At 39.7% G+C, this 20,791-nt stretch overlaps 1 protein-coding gene across 17 annotated transcripts in view, besides 1 other annotated feature; it reads left to right on the top strand.

The window, feature by feature from the left end:
• The window catches only part of EYA1 (EYA transcriptional coactivator and phosphatase 1), a 350,662-nt gene that overhangs the window by 133,370 nt on the left and 196,501 nt on the right, over positions 1-20,791 (top strand). The gene's annotated exons all lie outside the window — the stretch shown is intronic.
• Positions 7,448-8,027: an enhancer, noted in NCBI's record as "NANOG-H3K27ac-H3K4me1 hESC enhancer chr8:72318933-72319512 (GRCh37/hg19 assembly coordinates)". NCBI's record gives its function as "activates a minimal SCP1, AML or CMV promoter by ChIP-STARR-seq in naive H9 embryonic stem cells {active_cell/tissue: H9 hESC(naive)}" and the evidence as "EXISTENCE:reporter gene assay evidence [ECO:0000049][PMID:30033119]".

Here is a 20,791-nt window from a genome sequence, read left to right as displayed (position 1 = left end):
CATAGAGTTCCCATGTGACTTGGCTTACTTTGTGGAAAAATTTGACATATGTTTGAGGTAAATATTTTGATTCAAGAATCTGATGGAACTATTTTAAAACAGGCTAAGAAAACTGTTTTGGCCCACTTTCATCTCTCAGAGAAGGGATTGCAGGTAGGTTTTAATGTAAAAGTTTTAGTGCTGAGACAGATATCTATAGGCTGGAGAGAAGGGTGATAAACCTCTAGCTCTTTCTCTGCAGTCAAAAGTAGAAAGGCCGTAAACCTTGTCAAAGATGACAGTACAGACTTGGGTACACCGGAAATGATGGGACAAGAATTCACTTTGAAGAGACTCAGATAATTCTGGTGTTTTTTGAGAGAAACCTCCTGTAGTGGATACTGTCATGTGCTACCCAGATCTCCCTTCAGGAATGAAACACGTATTCCTCCAGCTGCTTGGAGAGCCACTGGGAGAGCTGCTGTAAGGGGCTTCTCAGCTGTCAGCTCTCCTTAGGAATTGCCTTGGCTGAAAAGCACAGCCTCATCTGAGGTCACACCCTTTCTGGGACAGCCAGAATCCAACTATTGATTGATATGGGTGCCTGATGGCCTGGCCTGTAGCTCCTACTCAGGATAACTATGTAGGGCCTTCCCTCTGGGGCAGCTGAAGCTTCCTGGAGGTTGCCTTGCCATTAACCTCTTTGTCTGCTCAATTCTACTTTCTTTCCTACCCTTACACAGTGTTAATCCCAACAGCATTCTCTAACAAACTTCCTATGTGCTAATTGTCTTAGATTCTACCTTCTAGGAAACCCAGCTTGTGACACTTGTGACAGCTTGTGATCTTCATCTAACAGAGAGAACAAAGCAAAATGATTCCTTTCTTGCTGCATACCTTTAGAAGTAAGACATTTAGCTCTAGTTATTAACTAAATGAAAATTCAGAATTGCATAACCAAAGAGGACAGAAACATACCTAATCACAAACATCACCACAATTACAGCACTGCTGTCAAGCGAAAACAAAGCAAAACGAAACACAACAGCATTGAGATTTACTTTTGAACACAATTGGGATACCTTATTTTGCATATACAGTTTGCATTTTTCCTTTGTTTATAATCAGAAAATGGCTATTTATATAATTTGTGACATAGAGAAGGTTGTTTTAAGTCTGCATATTTGAAGTAAATTTCCAATGCAATAAAATAGATGGCATGCCAAATTTTGTGTGTAGGTGTTTATGGGCATTTTATCCTGGGGAAATGATCCATGCCTTTCATTGGATTCCCATAAGAGTTTCTGATTTAAAAAAGGCTAAAAACAATTGGTATAAAGTAAAATGAGAAGCAGAACTAGGATAATATACTGAGCATATGGAAGGCACTCAAATCCTTGCTGAATATTGAGAGGGCAATTGGAGTTGCTAATGCAGGAGACTGAGAAGTTTCTGTTAGGGAGGCAGGCTGCTGTGCAGGTGGCACCTGAGGCTGTCATCACCACCACCATATGGATGCTTAGAGACTCTTAAGAATGAAGCACTTTTTTGACATTTTAAAGATAATCTTTCTGGACTTTTGGTCATCTTTGATTTTATTCTGCTTCTGAACTTCCACAATATCATCCTTATAATAATGTGTTTTCATATCCACCCTCCTCTCACTCCATACAGTTAAACTATGGCACTTTTACCTATGACATTGGCTTTGGACAGTGATTCTGCTTTCTCAGCCTGACTCTGCCGCTTCACACAAGTACCTCTTACCCACTCTAATTTAGTCTTGGAACTCCCTATCCTAGCACAGCTCCCCAAAAGGTATTCCCACCATACTTTGTGATGAGGACAGTGGAGGTATGGAAATATCAGAAGAGAACCTTGAAATCAAATGTGAGACTGTCAAGAGGTAAGGAGTAAGCAGCAGTGCTAGGTATGGCAGGGATCATGATGATGACTCGAAAAGATGCCCTTGATGTTGGCCACGTTGGTCATTCCTGACTATGCCCAGAGCAGTTTAAGTAGGATGTGGAAAGCACCAGTTCTTTTTCTTTTAACTCTCTATTATGGAGTATTTAAAATGTAACACTAAATTTCTATGTATCCATTATGCAGATTTCATAATAATCTCAACTCATTGCCTTGCTTCAGCCATGTCTCCATCCACTCCTCCCGTATTACTTTGGAGCAAAGTTCAGACATCATATTATTTTATCCATAAGCATCTCAGTATGTATCACTAAAAGATAAGGTCACTTAAACATATGCAGTTATCATACTATTATTGCATCTAAGATAAATGAACAACAATTTCTTTTTTTTATTTTATTTTATTTTATTTTTTATTTTATTTTATTTTATATTTTTTTATTATACTTTAAGTTTTAGGGTACATGTGCACATTGTGCAGGTTAGTTACATATGTATACATGTGCCATGCTGGTGCGCTGCACCCACTAACTCGTCATCTAGCATTAGGTATATCTCCCAATGCTATCCCTCCCCCCTCCCCCCACCCCACCACAGTCCCCAGAGTGTGATATTCCCCTTCCTGTGTCCATGTGATCTCATTGTTCAATTCCCACCTATGAGTGAGAATATGCGGTGTTTGGTTTTTTGTTCTTGTGATAGTTTACTGAGAATGATGGTTTCCAATTTCATCCATGTCCCTACAAAGGACATGAACTCATCATTTTTTATGGCTGCATAGTATTCCATGGTGTATATGTGCCACATTTTCTTAATGCAGTCTATCGTTTTTGGACATTTGGCTTGATTCCAAGTCTTTGCTATTGTGAATAATGCTGCAATAAACATACGTGTGCATGTGTCTTTATAGAAGCATGATTTATAGTCATTTGGGTATATACCCAGTAATGGGATGGCTGGGTCAAATGGTATTTCTAGTTCTAGATCCCTGAGGAATCGCCACACTGACTTCCACAATGGTTGAACTAGTTTACAGTCCCAGCAACAGTGTAAAAGTGTTCCTATTTCTCCACATCCTCTCCAGCACCTGTTGTTTCCTGACTTTTTAATGATTGCCATTCTAACTGGTGTGAGATGATATCTCATAGTGGTTTTGATTTGCATTTCTCTGATGGCCAGTGATGATGAGCATTTTTTCATGTATTTTGGCTGCATAAATGTCTTCTTTTGAGAAGTGTCTGTTCATGTCCTTCGCCCACTTTTTGATGGGGTTGTTTGTTTTTTTCTTGCAAATTTGTTTGAGTTCATTGTAGATTCTGGATATTAGCCCTTTGTCAGATGAGTAGGTTGTGAAAATTTTCTCCCATTTTGTAGGTTGCCTGTTCACTCTGATGGTAGTTTCTTTTGCTGTGCAGAAGCTCTTTAGTTTAATTAGATCCCATTTGTCAATTTTGGCTTTTGTTGCCATTGCTTTTGGTGTTTTGGACATGAAGTCCTTGCCCACGCCTATGTCCTGAATGGTAATGCCTAGGTTTTCTTCTAGGGTTTTTATGGTTTTAGGTCTAACGTTTAAATCTTTAATCCATCTTGAATTGATTTTTGTATAAGGTGTAAGGAAGGGATCCAGTTTCAGCTTTCTACATATGGCTAGCCAGTTTTCCCAGCACCATTTATTAAATAGGGAATCCTTTCCCCATTGCTTGTTTTTCTCAGGTTTGTCAAAGATCAGATAGTTGTAGGTATGCGGCGTTATTTCTGAGGGCTCTGTTCTGTTCCATTGATCTATATCTCTGTTTTGGTACCAGTACCATGCTGTTTTGGTTACTGTAGCCTTGTAGTATAGTTTGAAGTCAGGTAGTGTGATGCCTCCAGCTTTGTTCTTTTGGCTTAGGATTGACTTGGCGATGCGGGCTCTTTTTTGGTTCCATATGAACTTTAAAGTAGTTTTTTCCAATTCTGTGAAGAAAGTCATTGGTAGCTTGATGGGGATGGCATTGAATCTGTAAATTACCTTGGGCAGTATGGCCATTTTCACGATATTGATTCTTCCTCCCCATGAGCATGGAATGTTCTTCCATTTGTTTCTATCCTCTTTTATTTCCTTGAGCAGTGGTTTGTAGTTCTCCTTGAAGAGGTCCTTCACATCCCTTGTAAGTTGGATTCCTAGGTATTTTATTCTCTTTGAAGCAATTGTGAATGGGAGTTCACTCATGATTTGGCTCTCTGTTTGTCTGTTGTTGGTGTATAAGAATGCTTGTGAGTTTTGTACATTGATTTTGTATCCTGAGACTTTGCTGAAGTTGCTTATCAGCTTAAGGAGATTTTGGGCTGAGACGATGGGGTTTTCTAGATAAACAATCATGTCGTCTGCAAACAGGGACAATTTGACTTCCTCTTTTCCTAATTGAATACCCTTTATTTCCTTCTCCTGCCTGATTGCCCTGGCCAGAACTTCCAACACTATGTTGAATAGGAGTGGTGAGAGAGGGCATCCATGTCTTGTGCCAGTTTTCAAAGGGAATGCTTCCAGTTTTTGCCCATTCAGTATGATATTGGCTGTGGGTTTGTCATAGATAGCTCTTATTATTTTGAAATACGTCCCATCAATACCTAATTTATTGAGAGTTTTTAGCATGAAGGGTTGTTGAATTTTGTCAAAGGCTTTTTCTGCATCTATTGAAATAATCATGTGGTTTTTGTCTTTGGCTCTGTTTATATGCTGGATTACATTTATTGATTTGCGTATATTGAACCAGCCTTATATTGAACCCAGGGATGAAGCCCACTTGATCATGGTGGATAAGCTTTTTGATGTGCTGCTGGATTCGGTTTGCCAGTATTTTATTGAGGATTTTTGCATCAATGTTCATCAAGGATATTGGTCTAAAATTCTCTTTTTTGGTTGTGTCTCTGCCTGGCTTTGGTATCAGAATGATGCTGGCCTCATAAAATGAGTTAGGGAGGATTCCCTCTTTTTCCATTGATTGGAATAGTTTCAGAAGGAATGGTACCAGTTCCTCCTTGTACCTCTGGTAGAATTCGGCTCTGAATCCATCTGGTCCTGGACTCTTTTTGGTTGGTAAACTATTGATTATTGCCACAATTTCAGCTCCTGTTATTGGTCTATTCAGAGATTCAACTTCTTCCTGGTTTAGTCTTGGGAGAGTGTATGTGTCGAGGAATGTATCCATTTCTTCTAGATTTTCTAGTTTATTTGCGTAGAGGTGTTTGTAGTATTCTCTGATGGTAGTTTGTATTTCTGTGGGATCGGTGGTGATATCCCCTTTATCATTTTTTATTGTGTCTATTTGATTCTTCTCTCTTTTTTTCTTTATTAGTCTTGCTAGCGGTCTATCAATTTTGTTGATCCTTTCAAAAAACCAGCTCCTGGATTCATTAATTTTTTGAAGGGTTTTTTGTGTCTCTATTTCCTTCAGTTCTGCTCTGATTTTAGTTATTTCTTGCCTTCTGCTAGCTTTTGAATGTGTTTGCTCTTGCTTTTCTAGTTCTTTTAATTGTGATGTTAGGGTGTCAATTTTGGATCTTTCCTGCTTTCTCTTGTGGGCATTTAGTGCTATAAATTTCCCTCTACACACTGCTTTGAATGCGTCCCAGAGATTCTGGTATGTTGTGTCTTTGTTCTCATTGGTTTCGAAGAACATCTTTATTTCTGCCTTCATTTCGTTATGTACCCAGTAGTCATTCAGGAGCAGGTTGTTCAGTTTCCATGTAGTTGAGCGGCTTTGAGTGAGATTCTTAATCCTGAGTTCTAGTTTGATTGCACTGTGGTCTGAGAGATACTTTGTTATAATTTCTGTTCTTTTACATTTGCTGAGGAGAGCTTTACTTCCAAGTATGTGGTCAATTTTGGAATAGGTGTGGTGTGGTGCTGAAAAAAATGTATATTCTGTTGATTTGGGGTGGAGAGTTCTGTAGATGTCTATTAGGTCCGCTTGGTGCAGAGATGAGTTCAATTCCTGGGTATCCTTGTTGACTTTCTGGCTCGTTGATCTGTCTAATGTTGACAATGGGGTGTTAAAGTCCCCCATTATTAATGTGTGGGAGTCTAAGTCTCTTTGTAGGTCACTCAGGACTTGCTTTATGAATCTGGGTGCTCCTGTATTGGGTGCATATATATTTAGGATAGTTAGCTCCTCTTGTTGAATTGATCCCTTTACCATTATGTAATGGCCTTCTTTGTCTCTTTTGATCTTTGTTGGTTTAAAGTCTGTTTTATCAGAGACTAGGATTGCAACCCCTGCCTTTTTTTGTTTTCCATTTGCTTGGTAGATCTTCCTCCATCCTTTTATTTTGAGCCTATGTGTGTCTCTGCACGTGAGATGGGTTTCCTGAATACAGCACACTGATGGGTCTTCACTCTTTATCCAACTTGCCAGTCTGTGTCTTTTAATTGGAGAATTTAGTCCATTTACATTTAAAGTTAATATTGTTATGTGTGAATTTGATCCTGTCATTATGATGTTAGCTGGTGTTTTTGCTCGTTAGTTGATGCAGTTTCTTCCTAGTCTCGATGGCCTTTACATTTTGGCATGATTTTGCAGCGGCTGGTACCAGTTGTTCCTTTCCATGTTTAGCGCTTCCTTCAGGAGCTCTTTTAGGGCAGGCCTAGTGGTGACAAAATCTCTCAGCATTTGCTTGTCTGTAAAGTATTTTATTTCTCCTTCACTTATGAAGCTTAGTTTGGCTGGATATGAAATTCTGTGTTGAAAATTCTTTTCTTTAAGCATGTTGAATATTGGCCCCCACTCTCTTCTGGCTTGTAGGGTTTCTGCCGAGAGATCCGCTGTTAGTCTGATGGGCTTCCCTTTGAGGGTAACCCGACCTTTCTCTCTGGCTGCCCTTAACATTTTTTCCTTCATTTCAACTTTGGTGAATCTGACAATTACGTGTCTTGGAGTTGCTCTTCTCAAGGAGTATCTTTGTGGTGTTCTCTGTATTTCCTGAATCTGAACGTTGGCCTGCCTTGCTAGATTGGGGAAGTTCTCCTGGATAATATCCTGCAGAGTGTTTTCCAACTTGGTTCCATTCTCCGCATCACTTTCAGGTACACCAATCAGATGTAGATTTGGTGTTTTCACATAGTCCCATATTTCTTGGAGGCTTTGCTCATTTCTTTTTATTCTTTTTTCTCTAAACTTCCCTTCTCGCTTCATTTCATTCATTTCATCTTCCATTGCTGATACCCTTTCTTCCAGTTGATCGCATCGGCTCCTGAGGCTTCTGCATTCTTCACGTAGTTCTCGAGCCTTGGTTTTCAGCTCCATCAGCTCCTTTAAGCACTTCTCTGTATTGGTTATTCTAGTTATACATTCTTCTAAATTTTTTTAAGTTTTCAACTTCTTTGCCTTTGGTTTGAATGTCCTCCCGTAGCTCAGAGTAATTTGATCGTCTGAAACCTTCTTCTCTCAGCTCGTCAAAGTCATTCTCCATCCAGCTTTGTTCCGTTGCTGGTGAGGAACTGCGTTCCTTTGGAGGAGGAGAGGCGCTCTGCGTTTTAGAGTTTCCAGTTTTTCTGTTCTGTTTTTTCCCCATCTTTGTGGTTTTATCTACTTTTGGTCTTTGATGATGGTGATGTACAGATGGGTTTTCCGTGTGGATGTCCTTTCTGTTTGTTAGTTTTCCTTCTAACAGACAGGACCCTCAGCTGCAGGTCTGTTGGAATACCCTGCCGTGTGAGGTGTCAGTGTGCCCCTGCTGGGGGGTGCCTCCCAGTTAGGCTGCTCGGGGGTCAGGGGTCAGGGACCCACTTGAGGAGGCAGTCTGCCCGTTCTCAGATCTCCAGCTGCGTGCTGGGAGAACCACTGCTCTCTTCAGAGCTGTCAGACAGGGACATTTAAGTCTGCAGAGGTTACTGCTGTCTTTTTGTTTGTCTGTGCCCTGCCCCCAGAGGTGGAGCCTACAGAGGCAGGCAGGCCTCCTTGAGCTGTGGTGGGCTCCACCCAGTTCGAGCTTCCCGGCTGCTTTGTTTACCTAAGCAAGCCTGGGCAATGGCGGGCGCCCCTCCCCCAGCCTCGCTGCCGCCTTGCAGTTTGATCTCAGACTGCTGTGCTAGCAATCAGCGAGATTCCGTGGGCGTAGGACCCTCCGAGCCAGTTGCAGGATGTAATCTCCTGGTGAGCGGTTTTTTAAGCCAGTCTGAAAAGCGCAATATTCGGGTGAGAGTGACCCGATTTTCCAGGTGCATCCGTCACCCCTTTCTTTGACTGGGAAAGGGAACTCCCTGACCCCTTGTGCTTCCCAAGGGAGGCAATGCCTCACCCTGCTTCGGCTCGCACACGGTGCACACACCCACTGGCCTGCGCCCACTGTCTGGCACTCCCTAGTGAGATGAACCCGGTACCTCAGATGGAAATGCAGAAATCACCTGTCTTCTGCGTCGCTCACGCTGGGAGCTGTAGACCGGAGCTGTTCCTATTCGGCCATCTTGGCTCCTCCCTCAACAACAATTTCTTTATGTCATCAAATATCTACTTAATTCTCATTTCTGTAATGGTCATTTCCCACCATTTTTTGTGAATTCATAAATTGCTTTATAAAAGTTGATGGGAATGAAAATGTCTATGCATTGAAATTGTTTAATATCTTTTAAATCTATGCTTACCTACATCTCTCTCTTTTATCTTCATTTATTGCAATTAATTGTTGTTGCTGTTGTTTTACAGCTTTATTGAGGTATAACTGATACACAAAAAACTGCACATATGTAGTGGATACAATTTGCTGAGTTTGGACATATGAATATGCCACTGGTTGTTAAAGAAATTGAGTTGTTTCTCCTGTAAAGTTTGCCACAGTCTGGATTTTGTTAATGATATCCCTATGCTGTCTGTTTCTCTGTCATCTATATTTCCTGCAAATTGTGGCTGTGATCAGGGGATGCCATATATTAAGATTTGAGAGGCGAATGCAATTGAGAAAAGGAAGATAGTAAAATGTGAGTAGTTTTCCAGAAAGTTTGTCAGTGATAAGAAGGAAAGTAATAGGTTTAAAATTTGAGGAAGGTTTTGCTCTTTGTTTTTGTTTTTGTAAGGGGTATATGGAAAGGTTGCACATGCTCATCAAATAACAACGGAAAAGCACCCAGATCATAGAAGCTTAATATCCAAGGAAGGTGGATGTTTACCAAGCAAAGACTTGTAAAAGATGGAAAGAGAATTTAGTGAGTGGCTTAGCGTGCATTCATTTATTCACCCATTCTAATTTTGTACCTTTTGTGTACCAGACATAGTGCAGATGCTGGTGAAATCAAGATAAATTAAAATAACAGTGATAATAAACAACTTCCTCTATAATCAAGGGCCTTACATACTGAAGCAACAAAGAAATGAAGTGTAATAACAATTGCACAGACACCTGAACCCAGAAACAGCAGGTGGCTCAAAGGAGAAAGGGGTCTAGTCTTTAATTCTGATTGACCCACATTCTGTGGTTAAGAGTTAATTATCCCGAAAAAAGGTTGGACAGGAGAGGAGAGTAGGGGCATGAGTGAAGGGTCTTGAGCAATCATTGTTCTAAATAGCATCTCTTGTTTGTTGTTGTTGTTGTTTGTTTTTTAAAGCTGATCTGAAATGGACTAGCTGAATCTGAAATGATTCAGAAAAGGAAATAAGCTAATTGTAGAATTTCAGGTGCTAGAAGAGGGGACATATTTACGGCCATTTACCTTTCTGGAACGTGTAATATGATACCATATTGGCACCTTGTACTACTCTTATTTGTAAAAATTGGCCTGAATCCTAATTTTATTCAGGTATCCTAGAGTAGACTTTAACTGAAGAGGTGGTGTCCTAGAGGTGGCTGTGGCTATGTAAAATAAGGTGAAGTGTGTTATCCCTTCCTTTTGTATATTTCTGAATCTTTTTTTTTTTTTTTTTTTTTTTTGAGGTGGAGTCTCGCTCTGTCGCCCAGGCTGGAGTGCACTGGCGCAATCTCGGCTCACTGCAAGCTCCGCCTCCCGGGTTCGCGCCGTTCTCCTGCCTCAGCCTCCTGAGTAACTGGGACTACAGGCGCCCGCCACCACATCTGGCTAATTTTTTGTATTACTAGTAGAGACGGGGTTTCACCGTGTTAAGCAGGATGGTCTCGATCTCCTGACGTCGTGATCCACCCGCCTTGGCCTCCCAAAGTGCTGGGATTACAGGCATGAGCCACCGCCCCAGGCCTATATATTTCTGAATCTTAACATCATTTGATTATCGCTTCCTGTACTTCACAATCTATCAGATGATGTGTTCTGTCAGTTTTACCTCTAGCTTTTAAACATTTTAAACTGCAACCCACACTTGGAAACATTTTTCATCACAATTCAGTAAAAATATATTTGCCATATTTGCATATGTGAATATCTATATGGCTAAAAAATTCATGGACTAACACTCTTATGAAGTGTGGTGACCACTGATATTTATATTCTATTTCATTTTTCAAAAATCTTAGTAGCAAGCCATTCAAGTCATTCCAAGACCCATTAATACATTGTAACCAGTAGTTTGAAAAACATTATTTTTGTATTTTCTTCTTCCTCTCCCTCTTGCTGGGGCTTTTCAATGACTATGATATGGACAACTCCAAAATGCCCTACTCCTGCTCTAAATTGTATTGTTTTTTAAAATGTGCATTTCTGATGAGATCACTTCCTTTCTTAAACACAAAATACTCCTAAGTAGGGATGAAATATGTTCGTCCTTCATTATTTGGACCCTGTTGCCATTTTCAATCTGACTTCGTAGTTCCATTTCCAATCACTGTGCTGTAGTCAAACTGACCACAACAATCAATTCCAAAAAGGCACAATTATTTTTTAAATGTCCTTAATGTTTTCTGAAGTCACGAAAAACAAGTATGTACTTTAAGAAGTGAAACAATCCAAATATGTGTAAAGAAAGATAATAACCTTCCCTCCACCTCCTCCCATTCCCATCCTCTTGAAATAACCAGTGCTATCAGCTTGGGATGTATACTTTTATGGCTTTCTCCCTCCTTTTCCAAACATAGCTATTATTTGTAAGACTTTGTTTTTGTTTTTAAATGGTATCATGGTGTACATATCACTCTGCAGCTTGTTTTTATGCTTGAAAGTAGACATCTCCTCGGGTTCATAGATATGGCTGTATCTGATTCTTTTAAGAAGTGCAGTGCAGTTCTTTCACACCTGTAATTTAAAATATAATTTATTATCTACTGGTAGATGATCAAGTAGATCCCATTTTTGCAGTAACCAAAATGGTGCAGTGAAAGTCCTTATATACTCGCCTTTTTTATGTCAATAGGATATAATCTCAAGTCCGAGTTTTGGTCATAGCCTGTATATGCAAACTGAAAAGCTTGTTTGAATAAATACTGCCAACTCATGTTTCCAATATGTTGTGGCATTTTTCACCTCCACCAGCATCCTATGTGAATTCCATTTCACAACTCTGCTGTTCTTCAGCACTGCCCCTTGAACACTTTTTATGTGTGTCAATTTCTTAGGTTTGATAGTAATGATACATTTCTTTTCATGTTTATTGGCCATTTGGATTTCTTCTTCTGCCAATTGTCTGATCATATTCTTTGAACAATTTTGTATTGGATTGCTCACCTTTTTCTAATCAAGTGTGGAGATTTGCTTACGATTGTGAACACAGTTTCTGTCAAATATCTTCTCAGTCTGTCATCTTTGACTTCAGTTATGCTGTCTTATGCCATACAACAGTTTAAAATATCTATATAGTCAATTCTATTTGTCTTCTCCTTTGTAGCTTTTGGGTTTACCATTTTGCCTGGGAAAATCTCACCCACTCAAAGCTTGCACAAATGATATCCTAGTTTTCTTTTTAATATTTTTTATCATTTATGCTTGAAGTTAATTCATCTGGAATTGATCTCTGCATAGTGTGCATGCAAATTTTAATTATTTTCCCAGCCAGCTATGCTTACAGTATTTATTAAATAAGTTCTACTTTTTCTACTGAATTGAAATGGCACCTTTGTCATGAATTAATATCCATATATATTTAGATTTATTTTTGTCTTTCTTTGTTATTCTGCTAATTTCTGTATATATTCCTATGCCAAAAGCATACCATTTTAATTAGCATAATCTTATAATAACTTGTATTATCTGTGAAGTCCAGTCTTGCCCTACTCTTCAATGCAAAATTTGGGAGGATATTCTTGGACATATTTTATTTCATATAAACTCAGAACTAATTTTACTCAGTTCTCTCATAACCCCAAACTTAATACACTTTGCTTTGAATTACATTATTGTATACGTTAAATTTTAATTAAAAAATAACTTTAGAATATTAAGCCTTTTCTTTTGTGGGCATGTAACATTTTATTCATGTGTTTGGGTCTATACTACTTAATAATAGTTTATTGTTTTCTTTACAAAGCCCCATACCTTTCATGTTAAGTGTATTCTTAGGTATCTTGTTTTTGTTGCTATTGGGAGTGAAATTTTTATTTCTTCCAGGGTAGCTCTCATGCCCCGTTTTCAGCTTATGATTGCTAGTAAACCCTGGACTTCGTCTTTTTGAATCTGAGAGAAAGCAAGTGGAGGGGAAAAAAACCTGCCTCTAACTGAGGTCTGGGGAAGCAGACCACAAACTTGTGATTCCTTGCAGGAGCACAGAAAGTAGAAACCTGCCCATTTGGTGCATCTGGTTCTCAAATGGCTCAATCCTATCAAATGTACAGCCTTGGAGAGGACCTAGACCTACAATGGTGGGCAGAATAACTCAAGTTCCTGAGGGTGGGAAGAGACCTTTACTTGTACCAGACAGATTTAGAAGCAGAGACTGTTTTCCAGTGCTTAATAAGGGCAGTGACTGGACAGTTCTTACGGTCAGAGATATCACTGGCATCCTTAATCCACTCATTTGTCTCTACTTGTGAGATTTTAATAGCCTGGCTTTATGGATGCTGAGGGAAAAAATCATAAGCAGACAGAGAAAAACTATAATTCATTTAAGTGGGGCTTAGTAAAAATGATTCAGAAAGTGGTGGTAGTAGTAGTGGTAACAAGAACAACAAGGATTTATCGAAAGCTTTCTCAATGCCAAGCGGAGCTTCTAAGCCCTTTTACGTAGAGGGTCTCCAACTTTAGGATAATCTTAGAAATTCTGTACTATTATTATTCCCATTTGACTGATGAAGAAACTGAGGCAATGGAGAGGTTGAGTAAACTGTCCAAGAGACAATAGTTGGAATTCAAAGAACCTCTACTCTTAACCACTATGCCATAAGAACGCTTCATAGCAAAACCTGTGAAATATGCTAATATGCATATGCTAATATGTTTCAGAGGAAAAGGTAAGCTGTAAGTGATTTTATTCTGAAAACAATGAAAATTAATTATTTACTTGCAGTAATGAGAAACTAACAAAGTAAACAGCAGATATTGGGATGATAGTGATTAATAAAGACCGAAGTTAAAGAAAATGAAAGAATAAAATTGAAATCTTCTTGTTGAAAGGTAATAAAATAGAGAAACTCTTGCTGTGTCTGATTTTTAAAAAATTTATTTTAAGTTCTGGGATACATGTGCAGGACATGCAGGTTTGTTACACAGGTAAATGTGTGCCATGGTGGTTTGCTGCATCTATCAATCTGTCACCTAGGTATGAAGCCCAGAATGCATTAGCTATTTATCCTGATGCCTCCCTCCCACCACCCTCCTGAGAAGCCCCAGTGTGTTCGTTCCCCTCCCTGTGTCCATGTGTTCTCATTGTTCAGCTCACACTTATAATTGAGAACATGCAGTGTTTGGTTTTCTGTTCCTGCGTTAGTTTGCCGAGGATAATGGCTTCCAACTCCATCCATGTCCCTGAAAAGGGCATGATCTCATTCCTTTTTATGGCTGCATAGTATTCCATGGTGTATACGTACCACATTTCCTTTATCCATTCTATCATTGATGGGCATTTGGGTTGATTTCATGCCTTTGTCATTGTAAATAGTGCTGCAGTGAACATATGCATGCATATGTCTTAATAATAGAATGATTTATATTCCTTTGGGTATATACCCAGTAATAGGATTGATAGGTCAAATGGTATTTCTAGTTCTAGGTCTTTGAGGAATTGCCACACTGTCTTCCACAATGGTTGAACTAATTTACCTTCCCACCAACAGTGTAAAAGCATTCCTATTGCTCCACAGCCTCACCAGCAACTGTTGTTTCTTGACTTTTTAATAAATGCCATTCTGACTGATGCGAAATGGCATCTCACTGTGGTTTTTATTTGCATTTCTTAAATGATCAGTGATGTTGTGCTTTTTTCATGTCTGTTGGCTGCATAAATGTTTGCTTTTGAGAAGTGTCTATTCCTGTCCTTTGCCCACTTTTTAATGTTTTTTTTTCTTGTAAATTTTTTAAAGTTCCTTGTACCTTCTGGATATTAGACCTTTGTCAGACTGGTAGATTGCAAACATTTTCTCCCATTCTATAGGCTGTCTGTTCACTCTGATGATAATTTCTTTTGCTGTGCAGAAGCTCTTTAGTTCAATTAGATTTCATTTGTCAATTTTTGCATTCGTTGCAATTGCTTTTGATGTTTTCATCATGAAATCTTTGCCTGCGCCTATGTGCTGAATAGTATTGCCTAGGTTTTCATCTAGGGTTTTTATAGTTTTGGGTTTTACACTTAAGTCTTTAATTCATCTTGAGTTAATTTTAGTATAAGGTGTAAGGAAGGGGTCCAGTTTCAATTTTCTGCATGTGGCTAGCCAGTTCTCCCAGCACCATTTTTTGGAATAGGGAATCCTTTCCCCATTGCTGTTTCTCAGGTTTGTTGAAGACAGATGCATGTAGATGTGCAGTCTTATTTCTGAGATCTCTGTTCTGTTCCATTGGTCCATGTGTCGATTTTTATACCAGAGCCATTCTGTTTTGGTTACTGTAGCCTTGTAGTATAGTTTGAAGTCAGGTAGCATGATGCCTCCAGCTTTGTTCTTTTTGCTTAGGATTGTCTTGGCTATACAGGCTCTTTTGTGGCTCCATATGAATTTTAAAGTAGTTTTTTTCTGATCCTGTGAAGCATTTCAATGGTAGTTTAGTGGGAATAGCATTGAATCGATAAATTACTTTGAGCAGTATGGTATGGCCATTTTCACAATATTGATTCTTTCTATCCATGAACATGGAATGTTATTCCATTTGTTTGTGTCCTCTCTGATTTCCTTGAGCACTGGTTTGTAGTTCTCCTTGAAGAGGTCCTTCACTTCCTTTGTTAGATGTATTCCTAGGTATTTACTCTTCTTATAGCAATTGTGAATGTGAGTTCATTCATGATTTGGCTGTGCCTGATTTTGTGAAAGGGAAAGTTAAAACAAAGATATGTCACATAAGGAGATATAACCACATGTATAGAAGAGACAGACTTGAGACATAAGCAGGAGGAGGTTCCAAGATAGCCGAGTAGGAACAGCCCAGTCTGCAGCTCCCTGCGTGAGTGATGCAGAAGACGGGTGATTTCCGCATTTCCAACTGAGGTACTGGATTCATCTCACTGGGGCTTGTCAGACAGTGGGTTCAGCCCATGGAGCAGGGCAGGGCATCGCTTCACCCGGGAAGCACAAGGGGTCAGGGAATTCCCTTTCCTAGCAAAGGGAAGCCGTGACAGACGGTACCGGGAAAATCAGGACACTCCCACCCTAATACTGCGGTTTTCCAACTGCCTTAGCAAACGGCACACCAGGAGATTATATCCCGCACATGGCTTGGAGGGTCCCACGCCCACAGAGCCTCACTTACTGCTAACACAGCAGTCTGAGATTGAACTGCAAGGCAGCAGCAAGGCTGTCGGAGGGGCATCTGCCATTGCTGTGGCTTGAGTAGGTAAACAAAGCGGCCAGGAAGCTCGAACTGGGTGGAGCCCACCATACTCAAGGAGGCCTGCCTACCTCTGTAGACTCCACCTCTTGGGGCAGGGCATAGCTGAACAAAAGGCAGCAGAAACCTCTGCAGACTTAAATGTCTCTGTCTGACAGCTTTGAAGAGAGTAGTGGTTCTCCCAGCACGGAGTTTGAGACCTGAGAACAGACAGACTGCCTCCTCAAGTGGGTCCCTGACCCCCAAGTAGCCTAAATGGGAGACACCTCCCAGTAGGGACTGACTGACAGCTCATACAGCTGGATGCCCCTCTGAGACGAAGCTTCCAGAGGAAGGATCAGGCAGCAACATTTGCTGTTCTGCAATATTTGCTGTTCTTCAGCCTCCACTGGTGATACTGAGGCAAAGAGGGTCTGGAGTGGACCTCCAGTAAACTCCAACAGACCTGCAGCTGAGGGTCCTGACTGTTAGAAGGAAAACTAAAACAGAAAGGACATCCACACCAAAACCCCATCTGTACGTCACCAACATCAAAGACCAAAGGTAGATAAAACCACAAAGGTGGGAAGAAACCAGAGCAGAAAAGCTGAAAATTCTAAAAATCAGAGTGCCTTTTCTCCTCCAAAGGAACGCAGGTCCTGGCCAGCAATGGAACAAAGCTGGACAGAGAATGACTTTGACGAGTTGAGAGAAGAAGGCTTCGGACAATAAGTAATAACAAACTTATCTGAGCTAAAGGAGGATGTTTGAACCCATTGCAAAGAAGCTAAAAACCTTGGAAAAAGATTAGATGAATGGCTAACTAGAATAAACAGTGTAGAGAAGTCCTTAAATGACCTGATGGGGCTGAAAACCATGGCACAAGAACTACGTGACACATGCACAAGCATAAGTACAAGATTTGATCAAGTGGAAGACAGGGTGTCAGTGATTGAAAACCAAATGAATGAAATGAAGTGAGAAGAGAAGTTGAGAGAAAAAAGATTAAAAAGAAATGAACAAAGCCTCCAAGAAATATGGAACTATGTGAAAACACCAAATCTATGTCTGATTGGTGTACCTGAAAGTGACGGGGAGAATGGAACCAAGTTGGAAAACACTCTGCAGGATGTTATCCAGGAGAACTTCCACAACGTGGCAAGGCAGGCCAACATTCAAATTCAGGAAATACAGAGAACACCACAGAGATACTCCTCGAGAAGAGCCACTCCAAGACACACAATTGTTAGATTTGCCAAAGTTGAAATGAGGGAAAAAATGTTAAGGGCAGCCAGAGAGAAAGGTTGGGTTACTCACAAAGGGAAGCCCATCAGACTAACAGTGGATCTCTCAGCAGAAACTCTATAAGCCAAAAGAGAGTGGGGGCCAATATTCAACATTCTTAAAGAAAAGAATTTTCAACCCAGAATTTCATATCCAGCCAAACTAAACTTCATATGTGAAGGAGAAATAAAATCTTTTACAGACAAATAAGTGCTGAGAGATTTTGTCAACACCAGGCCTGCCTTACAAGAGCTCCTGAAGGAAGCACTAAACATGGAAAGGAACAACTAGTACCAGCCACTGCAAAAACATGCCAAATTGTAAAGACCATCGATGCTAGGAAGAAACTGCATCAACTAATGAGCAAAATAACCAGCTAACATCATAATGACAGGATCAAGTTCACACATAACAATATTAACCTTAAATGTAAATAGGCTAAATGCTCCAATTAAAAGACACAGACTGGCAAATTGGATAAAGAGTGAAGACCCATCAGTGTGCTGTATTCAGGAAACCCATCTCACATGCAGAGACACACATAGGCTCAAAATAAAGGGATGGAGAAAGATCTACCAAGCAAATGGAAAACAAAAAAAAGCAGGGGTTGCAATCCTGGTCTCTGATAAAACAGATTTTAAATCAACAAAGATCAAAAGAGACAAAGAAGGCCATTGTTTAATGGTAAAGGGATCAATTCAACAAGAAGAGCTAACTATGCTAAATATATATGCATCCAATACAGGAGCACCCAGATTCATAAAGCAAGTCCTTAGAGACCTATAAAGAGATTTAGACTCCCACACAATAATAATGGGAGACTTTGACACCACACTGTCAACATTAGACAGATCAACGACACAGAAAGTCAACAAGGATATCCAGGAATTGAACTCAGCTCTGCACCAAGATGACCTAGCAGACATCTACAGAACTCTGCACCCCAAGTCAACAGAATATACATTCTTAGCACCACATCACACTTATTCCAAAATTGACCACATAGTTGGAAGTAAAGCACCCCTCTGCAAATGTGAAAGAACAGAAATTATAACAAACTGTCTCACAGACCACAGTGCAATCAAACTAGAACTCAGGATTAAGAAACTCACTCAAAACCACTCTACTGCATGGAAACTGAACAACTGCTCCTGAATGACTACTGGCTATATAACGAAATGAAGGCAGAAATAAAGATGTTCTTTGAAACCAATGAGAACAAAGACACAACATACCAGAATCTCTGGGACACATTTAAAGCAGTGTGTAGAGGGAAATTTATAGCATTAAATGCCCACAAGAGAAAGCAGGAAAGATCTAAAATTGACAACCTAAAATCACAATTAAAAGAACTAGAAAAGCAAGAGCAAACACATTCAAAAGCTAGCAGAAGACAAGAAATAACTAAGATCAGAGCAGAACTGAAGGAAATAGAGACACAAAAATCCCTTCAAAAAATCAATGAATCCAGGAGCTGGTTTTTTGAAAAGATCAACAAAATTAATAGACCGCTAGAAAGACTAATAAAGAAGAAAAGAGAGAAGAATCAAATAGACACAATAAAAAATGAGAAAGGGGATATCACCACCGATCCCACAGAAATACAAACTACCATCAGAGAATACTATAAGCACCTCTACGCAAATAAACTAGAAAATCTAGAAGAAATGGATAAATTCCTCGACACATACACCCTCCCAAGACTAAACCAGGAAGAAGTTGAATCCCTGAATAGACCAATTACAGGTTCTTAAATTGAGGCAATAATTAATAGCCTACCAACCAAAAAAAGTCCAGGATCACATGGATTCACAGCCGAATTCTACCACATGTACAAACAGGAGCTGGTACCATTCCTTCTGAAACTGTTCCAATCAATAGAAAAAGAGGGAATACTCCCTAATTCTTTTTATGAAGCCAACATCATCCTGATACCAAACCCTGGCAGAGATACAGCAAAAAAAGAGAATTTTACACCAATATCCCTGATGAACATCGATGCAAAATCCTCAATAAAATACTGGCAAGCCGAATCCTGCAGCACATCAAAAAGCTTATCCACCGTGATCAAATGGGCTTCATCCCTGGGATGCAAGGCTGATTCAACATATGCAAATCAAGAAATGTAATCCAGCATATAAACAGAACCAAAGACAAAAACCACATGATTATCTCAATAGATGCAGAAAAGGCCTTTGACAAAATTCAACAACCCTTCATGCTAAAAACTCTCAATAAACTCGGTAATGATGGGACATATCTCAAAATAATAAGAGCTATCTATGACAAACCCACAGCCAATATCATACTGAATGGGCAAAAACTGGAAGCATTCCCTTTGAAAACTGGCACAAGACAGGGATGCCCTCTCTCACCACTCCTATTCAACATAGTGTTGGAAGTTCTGGCCAGGGCAATCAGGCAAGAGAAAGAAATAAAGGTTATTCAATTAGGAAAAGAGGAAGTCAAATTGTCCCTGTTTGCAAATAACATGATTGTATATTTAGAAAACCCCATCATCTCAGCCCAAAATCTCCTTAAGCTGATAAGCAACTTCGGCAAAGTCTCAGGGTACAAAATCAATGTGCAAAAATCACAAGCATTCTTATACACCAATAACAGACAACAGAGAACCAAATCATGGGTGAACTCCATTTCACAATAGCTTCAAAGAGAATAAAATACCTAGGAATCCACCTTACAAGGGATGTGAAGGACCTCTTCAAGGAGAACTACAAACCACTGCTCAACGAAATAAAAGAGGATACAAACAAATGGAAGAACATTCCACGCTCATGGATAGGAAGAATCAATATCGTGAAAATGGCCATACTGCCCAAGGTAATTTATAGATTCAATGCCATCCCCATCAAGCTACCAATGACTTTCTTCACAGAATTGGAAAAAACTACTTTAAAGTTCATATGGATCCAAAAAAGAGCCCTCATTGCCAAGACAATCCTAAAGCAAAAGAACAAAACTGGAGGCATCAAGCTACCTGACTTGAAACTATACTACAAGGCTACAGTAACCAAACCAGCATGGTACTGGTACCAAAACAGATATATAGACCAATAGAACAGAATAGATCCCCCGGAAATAATACCACAGATCTACAACCATCTTATCTTTCACAACCCTGACAAAAACAAGAAATAGGGAAATGATTCCCTATTTAATAAATGGTGCTGGGAAAACTGGCTAGCCCTATGTAGAAAGCTGAAACTGGATCCCTTCCTTACACCTTATACAAAAATTAATTCAAGATGGATTAAAGACTTAAATGTTAGACCTAAAGCCATAACAACCCTAGAAGAAAACCGAGGCAATACCATTCAGGACATAGGCATGGGCAAGGGCTTCATGACTAAAACACCAAAAGCAATGGCAACAAAAACGAAAGTTGACAAAAGGGATCTATTTAAACTAAAGAGCTTCTGCACAGCAAAAGAAACTACCATCAGAGTGAATAGGCAACCTACAGAATGGGAGAAAATTTTTACAATCTACCCATCTGACAAAGGGCTAATATCCAGAATCTACAAAGAACTTAAACAAATTTACAAGAAAAAAATCAAACAACCCCATCAAAAAGTGAGTGAAGGATAGGAACAGACACTTCTCAAAAGAAGACATTTATGCAGCCAACAGACACTGAAAAAATGCTCATCATCAGTGGCCATCAGAGAAATGCAAATAAAAACCACCATGAGATACCATCTCACACCAGTTAGAATGGCAATCATTAAAAATGCAGGAAACAGATGCTGGAGAGGATGTGGA

Source organism: Homo sapiens, chromosome 8 (genome assembly GCF_000001405.40).
Source record: "Homo sapiens chromosome 8, GRCh38.p14 Primary Assembly".
Classification (NCBI taxonomy): domain Eukaryota; kingdom Metazoa; phylum Chordata; class Mammalia; order Primates; family Hominidae; genus Homo; species Homo sapiens.
Note: the sequence above shows the minus strand (reverse complement) of the source record. Positions and strands in the feature narration are given on the sequence as shown.